Here is a 12,583-nt window from a genome sequence, read left to right on the forward strand (position 1 = left end):
AAGATAGTTACTTGGTGGTATTTTATACACACAGTGATTTTGTTGGTGGGACAATATTTTGATGGGCATGGCAATCCTAGAAATTGGTGGAGCTCTACATCCCCTTACTTAACTATGTTTGATTTCCTATACAGGTATTCACACTGAAGACAAGTCACATGTGCTTCCAATTTTGATTGCCAGGGTATTTACACTGAGGAATTATTGTCAAATTGACCTGAAAGCAGTGGACAACATGTTTGTGGTCATCAATAAAAAGTGACTTATAAAGCTTCAGTAATAAACATAGTCTAGAACTACTTTAAAGCGGAAGCTGCCTTTCGCTGGAATGTTATTAAATTTTTGTATCTCTTAGGAAAAGCAGAGTTACTGATATCAATAGCCAAATTTGAATAGTTAGTAACTACTTAATGACATTTGTTGCTATTTGAAAACACCGGTATCCCATATGAGACAGAATGGTTGCTAGAAAGAACAGTGACCCAGGAGTGAGACCCAGGTGCCTACTTCATAGATAGCGGGCTGTAGGCCTGCCACTTCTCCTTCCTGGATCGGTTTGCTCATCTGTTAAATGAAGAGAATGGAGTCTCAGAAATCCTGTCCCAGCATTTCGTGATCCTCTGTTGTTAATTGTAGACTTTAAAGCTTGTGTGTCATTTGTTTGTCTCCTATTGCCTGCTATTAAGATGATTGAAGTATAAGAATATGTCATGTGTTTGTAGCCTGAATTGATTGACCTTGTGCAAGGATCTGGATGAAATTTTCAGTGAAATAATACTCAGTTTTCCCTTCCTGGAGCCTTCTTTATTTCCCACCTCTTTCCATGATGTTTCAGTCTGTCCTAGTTTTATGAGGTTGTTAAAAAATTCACTGTGAAAGATTAGGAGGAAATGATGAGGTCTTTGGTTGCTGGGTAACTGCTTTTTAACCATGATTCAATGTTTAATAAGATTGTTTTATCTGGTTCCAGGGTCTTCCCAGAATTTCACTGTTGCTGATTTTGTGTTCTTTTAAAGAAAAAAAAGAGTACACTTGCAAGTTTTTTTCCATGATGTTTCTTAAATTTATACTTATTTTAAAATGTTCTTCATCAAATATTTCAGCCTGATCAAGTCTTGTTCTTTTTTCTCTTGGTAAGAAGGATTTTATATAAAAAAATTAAAATAGTATATATCTATTCTCTCAAAGCAGTTCCAAAAACTAAATATAAAAAAAATAGTCTTTATAGTCTGTTTAAGCAGGTTTCAAAGTCAGCTCCTCCATTCCTGAAGTTTTTATTTAGATTATTTCTTTCTTATGGCATTTTAAACTTTTTTTCTTTTTAAAATTTTTGTTATTTGTATAGATTTAGGGGGTACAGTGCAATTTTTGTACATTGATATATTGCATAGTGGTAAAGTCTGGGCTGATAGTGTACCCCTCACCTGAATTGTGAACATTGTACCAATAGGAATTTTTCAACCATCACCAGTCTCCCGCCCTCCTCCCTTATGGAGTCTCCTACCCTCCTCCCTTATGGAGTGTCCAATGTCTATTATCCCTCTATGTCTGTGGGTACCCATTGTTTAGTTCCCACTTATTAATGAGAATATGTGGTATTTGATTTTTTTGTTTCTGAGTTATTTCACCTACGATAATGGCCTCAAGCTCTATCCATGTTGTGGTAAAAGACATGATTTCACCTTTTTATGGCTATGTAATATATATATATATATATAACATTTCCTTTATCCAATCATCCATTAATGGACACTTAGGTTGATTCTATAACTTTACTATTGTGAATAGTTATGCAATAAATATGAGTGCAGGTATCTGTTTGATATGACAATTTCTTTTCCTTTGAGTAGATACTTAGTAGTAGGATTGTTGGATTGAATTGTAGTTTTTTTTTTTTAGCTCTTTAAGAAATCTCCTTACTGTTTTTTCATAGAGGTTGTATTTATTTGCATTCCCACCAGGAGCATATAAATATTCTCTTTTCCCTGCATCGTCTCCAACAATTTTTTTTTTTTTTTTACTTTTAATAGTAGCCATTCTGACTGCTGTGAGATGGTATCTCATTGTGGTTTTGATTTGCATTTCTCTGATGATTAGTGGTGTTGAGTACATTTTCATATGATTGTTGGCTGCATGTATGTCTTCTTTTGAGAAATGCCTGTTCATGCCTTTTGCCCACTTTTTAATGGAGTTGTTTGTTTTCTTCTTGTTGAGTTGTATGAATTCCTTGGAGATTCTGGATATTAGTTCTTTGTCAGAAGCATAGTTTGCAAATATTTTCTGCCATTCTGTCAGTTGTCTGTTACTCTGTTGATTATTTCTTTTGCTGTGCAGAAGCTTTTTCATTTAATTAAGTTCCATTATTTACATTATTTCTTAAGTTGTTGAAATTTACTGTTGAATAGCATTTTCAAAGAAAAAATCATGGATGCTGCATTTCCTAAGTTTTTCAAAGCTTAAGAATACCTGCCTGTTGCCTTTATAATTAACGACAATCTACCTGGATATAATCTTTGAGTCACCAATTTTTTACTTCAGGAATTCTGTGGCAATAGCTTAATTTTATTCTGCCATTAAATTTGCTTTCGAGAAGGCTGAGGTCAGTCTAAATTTTTCTCTGTTGTAGGAATGTGTCTTTTTGCTGCCTCAATGCCTGAAAAATTTGTTTATAATCTTGGTTTAAAAAACCAGGAAATGTCTTGATGTTAATTGATCTTCATAAAATATTCTGATATATGGTATTATCTAACCATGTAAAGATTCAAAATTTAAGGAAAAAAATTCTAAATCATATTAATAAATACCTTTTTTTGTTTTGTTTATTGAATTTTTATATTTCAATAGTCCTAATCACCTCTGCCCTCTTGCTTGCTTGGTAAGACTGTCCCGCTCCTAACAGATCAATGAGCAAGCTCAAGGCATTGAAATTAAACTGTGCTTCTTACATTCACTATTGTCTGACAGGATCCCATTCAGAGAAATGATTTGCTCCCCAGGCATCCTCAACTCCATTATATGGATAAGAGGACAACCCAGTTTCCCATCACCATTCCTCTCCAACAATCATGGTCTTGAGTTTGCTATGACAAATCTCATTACGCCTTTTATTCCCATCTATAGTGCCACAAGCATTAATAAACTCCCAGATCATTCCATAGCTTTCTCATTTTGATTCCTAGAAGGTTCTATGTGAACCCATTTCTTGCCCCGTTTCACCTGTTCCCATCTCCTGAAATATTTCCATTGTGCTTATTTCAAATCCATAGTTCTTCATCAGCAAAATGTTCTAAGTACTTATACTCTTCCCTGAACGTTTGCTTCATGCTGATGTTCTCCCATAACCTAATTTTCTTTTGATGTTCTTTCGCCCTCTGAAGGTTTCGCAAGTGATAGTCTTTTGTTTTGTCTTGTTTTTTCCCCTCAAAACCCTTGAACCATAAATTTGTTTAAATCTCTCTTTGGGGAATATGTGATATGAGTGGGCCCAATGCAATTCCTAACTCATGGGTGGAACTCTCTTCTCCCTTGGCACAAACAGGCACCTTAAAGATTTATATCCTTAGTGTTACTTGGCCTGGTCTGTATTTTCTGTTTATAAGTCTGAATGCTTTATTTCCTCTGGACCAATATCAGGCATCTTTTTCAGAGTTCACACAAGCTGTGGAAAATCACTCTGAAGTCATTCCGCCATGAGGGTCCTTGTATGTAAATGGGTGGAAACCCCACCTTCTAAAATTCTCACCCCTATCAGAAATAAAACCCCATCTCTGCTTCTAGTCTTGGGACAATCCATCAATATCCCATTAAGGTGGTTTTTGTTTGTCTGTTATTTTTCCTATTCCACTGTCATTAAAGTCTATGTCCTCTTCAAAAATAACATGAAATAGCCATAATTACCTTTGGTCAAGCTGAAATATACAGATGCAAGACAGGTAATGTAGATGAGGGATCCAGTCTAGGTGAGAGAACACATGGCTTGTCCAAAGCAGATGGGCTCACTCAATTCTAGCTCATGTCTGCTTTGAATGTGAACCCTTTGATGCCTAAACTTTGCTTTTTCAATAGAAGCAGAAGTTTCATATTTTTTATATGAAAGCCCTTTACTTTTAAGTATTGGTTCAAGTGGTTATAAAATCCTGTGTGGAATATACAAAGGATTTTATGTTTGTAGAAGTCTTTTCACTTGGCTTTTGGTGTAGGAGACTTGGCCTCTCTCCTAAGTCTTCTTTTTTAACTTTAAACACTTATAATGAGTATCATGCACAGCCAAGGCTTCACATACTATTTTCATGCTTACCTCTTGCTCAGCTGCACATTGAAGCACCTACTTGTTCCTCTTTGGTTGTCTTATAAACACTGACATGTAATATGTCTAAGTTTGAACTCAAGATCTTTCCCCCCAAATTGTTATTCTATTAAGTGCAACTTTAGTGCACTCAGTTCCTCACAAGAGCAAGGAGACAAACCCTGGAGTCCAGTCAATGTGAAAAGAATGGACAAAGATATCTGCATGAAATCAGGATGCCCAGAAGAAACATCCTTCATGTGTGGCCTAGAAATCAAACATATAAGTAAGTAAAAAAACACAAATTCAACAAGTAAAAACCAGTTCACAAAGGAAGAGTGTAAGAAAACTTATGTCTTGGCTTTCACTCTGGGTGAAGCAGAGGAAAAAATGGTCTCTGAGAATTACCACTGGAAGTTGTCCCTTGGGTGAATTTGAGGCTGGAATACATGCCATTGATGTCGGTGAAAAAACACCTATCATCCCATTTGTTTTCAAGTGACCCTGGGATGTATTGTTTTTAGCAGAAGCAGGTGCAAATTTTCTCTAAAGAAATGCATTTCATTTTGACTGACACAAGATTTGTGCATATAAAGTTATAAGGAATATAAACTCACATCTGAAATAATCAAACTCCCAAAGCAGTATGTTAACAAGAGTGAAAATATTTAATGAGTAAAAAGAAATAAAAGTGGGAATAAAAACTATGATTACATAGGATGTACATCAAAGTGTAACAGACAGATTTGTAAATGTGCCAAGTAAAATTTCTAGAAAAAGGAAATGTTATAATTGGAGTTGGAGTTCAGTTAGAATACAAGTAAAGAGAAAAATAGTAAACATAAAGATTCATTTGAAAATTTCCTTATGAACCACAGACAGAGAAAGTAAAAAAAAATATGAAAGAGCTCTTAAAACATGTAGGAGGTAGAACGAGAAAACCTAATTCCAGTTTAATGAGAAGTTCAGAAGGAATACATAGAGACAACAAAGATAGCAAGAAATTGAAGAGATAAACAAAGCTAGTATAAATATGTAAAATGAGACAAAATAGATATGAAAGTTAAAAAGCATTACCAAAGATGTAGGAGATTAATACAAACTGATAAAAGGTTCAATTCACCAGAAAGGTGTAATGAAACTAAACATGAATTGAGCATAGATAAAATATATTATGATAAGTACAAGAAGAAATTTAGAAGCCCATCTTCATTCTGGGAAATTTTTAAGCACCTCAGTCAGTAATTAATAGATCAATCAGATTAAGAAAATCAATAATTCTGGAAATTTGTATAACAAAATTAACAAGATTAATTTACTGATACCAAAATAACACTTTTTTCCAATAATTGGGTGATAGACATTCTTTTCTAACACATACAGAACACTTAAAAATGACATTTAAAATAAATTTTTGCTTGACAAATAGGAAAAACAAGTTACAAAGTATGAGAATATATTTTCCATCTACATAAGTGACAAAGGATTAATGTGGGTTTAGAGTTTTTCCACATTAATAAGAAAAAGACAATCCATTAGAAAGAAAATGGGCAAAGACCATGAATGTGCCAGTGAGAAGAGATAAAAACCAATGGCTAATAAACATAAGAAAAGATGCTCAATCTTTTCTCTCTCTCTCTCCCTCCCTCCCTGCCTCTTTCTTTCTTTTGGCAGGGTCTTGTTTTGTCAATCAGGCTGGAGTGCAGTGGCACAATCAGAACTCACTGCAGCCTCAAACCCCTGAGCTCAAGCAATCCTCCTGCCTCAGCCTCCCAAAGTGCTGGAATTACAGGTGTGAGCCGCCGTGCCCGGCCAAGATGCTCAATCTTACTGTTAATTAGAAAAATACAAATCAAAAGAAGGAGGTGTTGCCACCTACCTATCACACAGGCAAACATCAGTCCAGCTGGTAATGACGAGTGTTGAAGAGGATGTGGAGAAAAAAAAACTGTTATATACCACTGTAGGAATGTAAATTGGTACATCTACTTTGAGGAACAATTTGACAATAACCAATACATTTTAAAATACACAGACTCTCTGAGTCAGACCCTTTACTTCTAAGTGTCTACCCTGGAGAATTTCTTATACATGAAGACATATACAAAGATAATAATTGCAAGATTGTTCATCAGAGCATAAAAACAAAAAGAAACCTAATTGTCACTCAGGGAAATAGATGAATTATGGTTAATTCATATAATGAAACACTATTCAACAGTTAAAATGATAAACTTATGTGCATAAACACGGATAATCTTCAAAATATATAATAGTGAAAGTTGCAAAAGTGGTGTAGAGTATGGCTAGATTTATGCAAATATTAAGACAAAATAATTTGTCATATTTTGTTTATTAATATGCACATGTTGTAAAAGTACAGACACTCATGGAAATGATACACATCTCTGGGGAGGGAGTGAGGGGAAAAGGTTCCTGTTGGGACTTTAGAGGAATATGTATCATCTTCTTCTTATTCTTTTAGAAAGGTAAGGTCTAAAGTAAAGACAAAATGTTAACATCCATTTTAGTGTATATATATATATACACACACATACATATAGATACACATTATATTATTTTCTATCTTTTAAAGTGTGCTGCATAAATTAAAAAATTTTAAAACGAAAGTAGACAAAGAAAATGTTTTTGAAAACTCTACCAGTTGCATGTTTCTGGAAATAAAATTAGGACAGAGTTACCAGAATGGGCAACTATATTAAAAAATAGGGACCCAAGGAAAATGGAATTGATAATAATTTACAAGACAGCAGCTTCATTAAATTTTTGAGTGAGAAGCAAAATAGTCAGAAGCTCCCTGGAAAGGAGAAGAAGTAAAAGATAGATTGTATAGAATAAAACATCAAAAGGCCAAGAAGAGAAGTTTAAAAACAGAATACAATTGAATATTTACCAACATGACACTAAATAGTAGAAAGGGTAGGCAAATACCTAGGTTACATAAAATGGGCCGATTATGCATTTTAAAACCAATTTTAGAATCATTCCATTTGTAAGAGAGTGACAATTATCTTAAAGAATTCTTTAACATCAGTGACATATCTGAAGATTGATTTTATGCAAACAGATTTAGCAGCTAATAGACCAGTTGAGTGTTTATGAAGCAGTGTTAAAGAATGTTTAGTTTCTAAAGATGACATCCAAAATATCCATCTAATCATGCACAAGTGAATTGAATTCTTAACTGAAAATACATTTCCCCTTTAGCCTTAAGAGTAGGACTAAATTAATGTCATGTGTAAAAGATTGTGGGTACCCTAATGCTAAATTCAATGCTTATTTCTTGGCAACATTTAAAAAATGGGAGTATTTAAAAAATTATACAAATCTAAAATAAATGTGTTTGTGAAATAATAAGTATATTAAACTTAAACTTCTTGCTTAAAAATAGTACTATAATGAAAGATGACTTTAAAGACAGGTTAAATTTCTTATTATTTATAATCAATGATAATTGTGAACTAAGTATTAAAATGATTTACTTGCTAGTTATATATATGTGACCTATACTTATGACATTGTGAGGTATAGACTAGAGTTTTGACACTGCTATTTGTGTTTAGATAAGACTGAGTATGTTAGAGCTGTTTGGTGGCAATTATGATACCTGTAACTGCCATTGCAAACTTAGAATTAGACACCGCACTTTCAGTTCCATTCTGACTTTTCTTGCCTTTCACTTGCTGACATCATTGCCCACCATTTCTTTTTTTATGTTTTTTAAAAAACTTTTAAGTTCAAGGGTACATGTGCAGGTTTGTCACATAAGTGAACATGTATCATAGGGGTTTCTTATGCAGATTATTTTATCACCCAGGTATTAAGCCTAGTAACCATTGGTTATTTTTCCTGATCTTCTCCCTCCTCCCACTCTCCACCCTCCAATAGGCCTCAGTGTGTGTTTTCCCCCTGTATGTGTCCATGTGTTCTTATCATTTAGCTCCCACTTATAAGTGAGAACATGTGGTATTTGGTTTTCTGTTCCTGCACTAGTCTGCTGAGGATAATGGCCTCCAGCTCCACCCATGTCCCCGCAAAGGACATGATCTCATTCCTTTTTATGGCTTCATAGTATTCCATGGTATAAATGTACCACATTTTCTTTATCCAGTCTATCACTGCTGGGTATTCGATTGATTCCATGTCTTGGCTATTGTATATAGTGCTGCAATGACCATACATGTGCATGTGTCTTTATAATAGAACAATTTACATTCCTTTGGGTATACACCCAGTAACAAGATGGCTGGGTCCAACAGTATTTCTGTCTTTAGGTCTTTGAGGAAATGCCACGCTGTCTTCCACAGTGGTTGAACTAATTTTCACCCCCACCAACACTGTATAAGCATTCCTTTTCTCTAGTACCTTGCCAGAATCTGTTATTTTTTGACCCTTTTTTTTTTTTTTTTTTTTTGAGACGGAGTCTCACTCTGTTGCTCAGGCTGGAGTGCAGTGGTGCAATCTTGGCTCACTGCAAGCTCTGCCTCCCGGATTCACACCATTCTCCTGCCTCAGCCTCCCGAGTAGTTGGGATTACAGGTGTGTGCCACTATGACCAGCTAATTTTTATATTTTTAGTAGAGGCGGGGTTTCACCATGTTGGCCAGGCTGGTCTCAAACCCCTGGCCTCAAGTGATCTGCCCACCTTGGCCTCCCGAAGTGCTGGGATTACAGGCGTGAGCCACAGGACCCAGCCCTCTTTATTGTGGTTTCCATTTACATTTCTCTAGTGATTAGTGATAGTGAGATTTTTTTTTAATATGATTTTTGGCTGCATATATGTCTTCTATTGAGAGGTGTCTGTTCATGTCCTTTGCCCACTTTTTAATGGAGTTACTTGTTTTTTTCTTGTAAATATGTTTAAGTTCCTTATAGATGCTGAATATTTGACCTCTGTCAGATGCATAGTTTGCCAGAATTTTCTCCCATTCTGTGGGTTGTCTGTTTACTCTGTTGATAGTTTCTTTTGCTGTGCAGAAGCTTTTTAGGTTAACTAGACACCATTTGTCAATTTTTGCTTCTGTTGCAATTGCTTTTGAATGCCCACTATTTCAGTGTACTCAGAACATGTCCCCCAGGACTTCTCAAACATTAGTGAACATAGAATTGCAAGGGTATTTACTAGGAACACAGATTCCAGAACCCTATCCTAATAGATGCTGATTTGGAATATCCTTTGGAGTAGGATGCAGGTGCTCCACAAACCACATTTGGACCCCTTTCATTCATCTGCCTTACCATATTAGTTCCTAGCAATGGTAATTTCCATTATCTGCCTTTTCCTCTTCCAGAACTTAGCAGTACTACAAAAAGATCAAGACTTAACCAAGTGTTTCCACCACAAATTTGTGTCATTAAACATACGTATTTTATAGTCAAACAGACTTAGGTCCAAATCTTGACCCTGTTACATGCTAGTTATATTTTGCACAAATCATCAAATCCCTTTCAGCTGTAATTTCCTTATCTGCAACATGCAGACTCATTCATTATTCATTCATTCATCCAATGAACAAAGATATATATTTTAAATACATACTGTTGTAAGTACTGGTGATAGATTAATTAACAAGAACTAAGTGTAACTGTCTACATGGACTTTATATTTCATTAAAGATTCCTACTTAATGCAGACAGTTGTTAGAAGGATTGAATGAAAACATAAAAACATAATAATAGCTACCATACATAACAGTATTTAAGAGCCAGATAAGGTTTCAGGTGCTCTATATAATTACCTAATTTATTTCTTATAACAAAACCATGAGGTAAGTACTATTATTTTTGTATATAATATATATATATATATACAAAATTTTGTATATATTATATATATATAATGAAATTGAGCCACAGATAGTTTTTTATTCAAGGCCACTCACGTAACAAGTGGTAGAGCTGGAATTCCCACCCAAGTGGCTGGGTCCAGAATCAATGCTGTTAAGCTCTAATATAATGCCTATTCTTCTCAATGCAATTAAACTAGCAAAATTATAATGTACAGGTCAGATTTCTGAAGAAGTCAGAATAAATATAAAATATAAAATGCTCCGAAGCCAAAGTCTATAATTTGATCTGATAGTAACATTATTCAAGAAAGAAAATGTGTCAACAACAAGGAATTGTCCCAGTTTTCATTACAAAAAGGGCACCTTCCTGAGAACAAAAATTGGCAAGATTTATTCAGCACTTTCAGAGGAGAAACTCGATGTTAACCATAATAATAACAATAGCAATCATCCATATCAAACATTTACCATTTAGCCAGGCACTATACTAATTTCTTCTCACAATTCATCTTGACAATAACTTGCAAGGTATGTAATATGTTCATCTTACCAGATGAAGAAACTGAGGTTAGTAAGCATCTCCAGCCAGGTGGTTTGATCCCAGAATACACCTTCTTCATGACGACAAAGCACCATTTTTATACCAGCTGTACATTCAACCTGTAGGATACAAACTTACAGTTATTAAACATATCTGTTTCTTATAAGTAGCATATGAGCTGGGTAGAATATACTTAAAGACTATATAGCAAAATGTCAGTTAAAATGTGCTTTTCTCAGAGAGGCCTCCACTGGTCCCACCAACTAAGTAAATTCCTCTATTAATATTCTTTCATAGAACCCAATTTTATAATTATGATTTTAGTGCTTATTTCCTCTTCTAGGTGGTAAGATGCATGAGGTTGATCATTTGCTTTCATTTTTCAGTGCATTCTTGGTGCCTAGTATAGTTCCCGTTATGTGAATGGTTAGTGAAGAAATGAATGCCTGGATTCTATGTTTACTTTGTACATTTCCAGTCATTTGCCTGGTTTATCAGATTCTCTGGTGAAGGCAAAAATGCCGACACAAACATATTAAGCACTGGAAAAGGATATCCCTGTTACAAATCAAATAGCACAGGGAGAAGGTGTGTTTAAAATGAGCATATCTTGGTTGCTTGTGACATTTCTCTTTATTATTGTATTTGCTTTTTCATTTGTGTAACGGAACCTTGTGAGTTTGGTTAGTTTGATCTATCTCTGAGTGACCAATCAAATGACTAAATAAATTGAACACTAGACTCATCACTTTGTCCACTCACTCACTCTCTCAGGTGATGCCATCCTTGGCACATGGTCTAAACAACCACCCAAATTCTATTGCTGGAAACTCAACAGAGAGTCTAGGCATGAATTGAGGTACCAGCAAAGCACAGGCACTAACCACTAAACATCATTTCTTTTGAAATAATTTGATATTTCAAACATAAAGTACCAGAAATATTCATCATGTGAAATATCAGAACTTTGTTGAACTTCACTAGAAATAATTTGTGTTTTAATATTTTTCTAAAATTTTGATTTAGGTAGGGACGTATGGGTGGGACACCATATCAATTTAGTGTTTAGTGCTTCTAAAGCTATCCAGCCCTGAATTTCCTAGGGGCACAGCTTCTTCTTCTTATATCATATGTCAACACCTGCTTCCTCTCATTCTTAATATTATTATATCTTATTTTTTGCTTTTGTCTCTGAGAAAGAAGTACCCCAGTGCCTTGGCAAGGTGAACCTCCCCATCAGAATATTATTCTCAATGCAGTAGCTGATGTTTTCTTAGTGACTTTTTGATGTTCCATCTTCATTAGCTCCTATCCTAAACAAAAATTTTCTTGATCCCACTTCCTCCTCAATCTACTATTCTTCTTTACAAACTTCCTGTCATTTATATTTTGTGCTTCTTCTGCCTTAGTAGTATTTATTCCTTTGCAGCCAGACTTTCAACCAACCCCAGCATTTTCGTATGTTGTCCGTGAGCTCAGCCTTGCTTAAAACACCTGTCTTATGAGCAATTATTTCTTCCCTTAATTCAGTGATCAGCTTGCTTATCTTCATAAGTCCTTGCAATTGTGACTAACATTGTCTTACACATATAGTAAGTGCTCAATACACTTACTATTTAATAAATAAATTGTGTTATTTTTATATGTTTAGGATTTTTGTCTTAATTATTATAAGGCATTTCAAAGTATCTTGCTGTGTGTGATTTCAAAGTAACTTAAAATTAGAACAGGTATAAAAATCAAACCTATTTGAATTACATAAAAAGACTGAGAAAAAAATATAGCCAGAACTGGATTCTTTTAAGATTAAAAGGATATTCCATGTTTTCTTTTTAAATCATGCCTACATATTTTATACATCATAAATTCATTGTATTTTTAATTCTGTAAAAATGTAAGTTTCTTAACTTTTCAGTATTATGGGAGTTATACAATTCAGAGATTCTT

General features: G+C 34.5%; 2 long non-coding RNA genes across 2 annotated transcripts in view, besides 1 other annotated feature; one reads left to right on the forward strand and one right to left on the reverse strand.

The window, feature by feature from the left end:
• LOC124902426 (uncharacterized) overlaps window positions 1–12,583 on the forward strand; it is a 46,727-nt gene that overhangs the window by 17,038 nt on the left and 17,106 nt on the right. The window lies entirely within an intron of this gene.
• Window positions 5,489–5,649: a silencer, noted in NCBI's record as "fragment chr10:54315609-54315769 (GRCh37/hg19 assembly coordinates)". NCBI's record gives its function as "represses an EF-1alpha promoter that drives an FKBP-Casp9 reporter gene in an ReSE screen in phorbol 12-myristate 13-acetate-treated (for megakaryocytic differentiation) K562 erythroleukemia cells {active_cell/tissue: K562(+PMA)}" and the evidence as "EXISTENCE:reporter gene assay evidence [ECO:0000049][PMID:32094911]".
• Window positions 6,620–12,583, reverse strand: part of LOC105378305 (uncharacterized) — a 198,425-nt gene continuing 192,461 nt past the window's right edge. Inside the window, exons 2-3 of the long non-coding RNA NR_155748.1 lie at window positions 10,646–10,755; window positions 6,620–6,781 (exon numbers count right to left, since the gene is read on the reverse strand). This is a non-coding gene — a long non-coding RNA (uncharacterized LOC105378305). The remainder of the gene's footprint in view (window positions 6,782–10,645; window positions 10,756–12,583) is intronic.

Source organism: Homo sapiens, chromosome 10 (genome assembly GCF_000001405.40).
Source record: "Homo sapiens chromosome 10, GRCh38.p14 Primary Assembly".
NCBI lineage: Eukaryota > Metazoa > Chordata > Mammalia > Primates > Hominidae > Homo > Homo sapiens.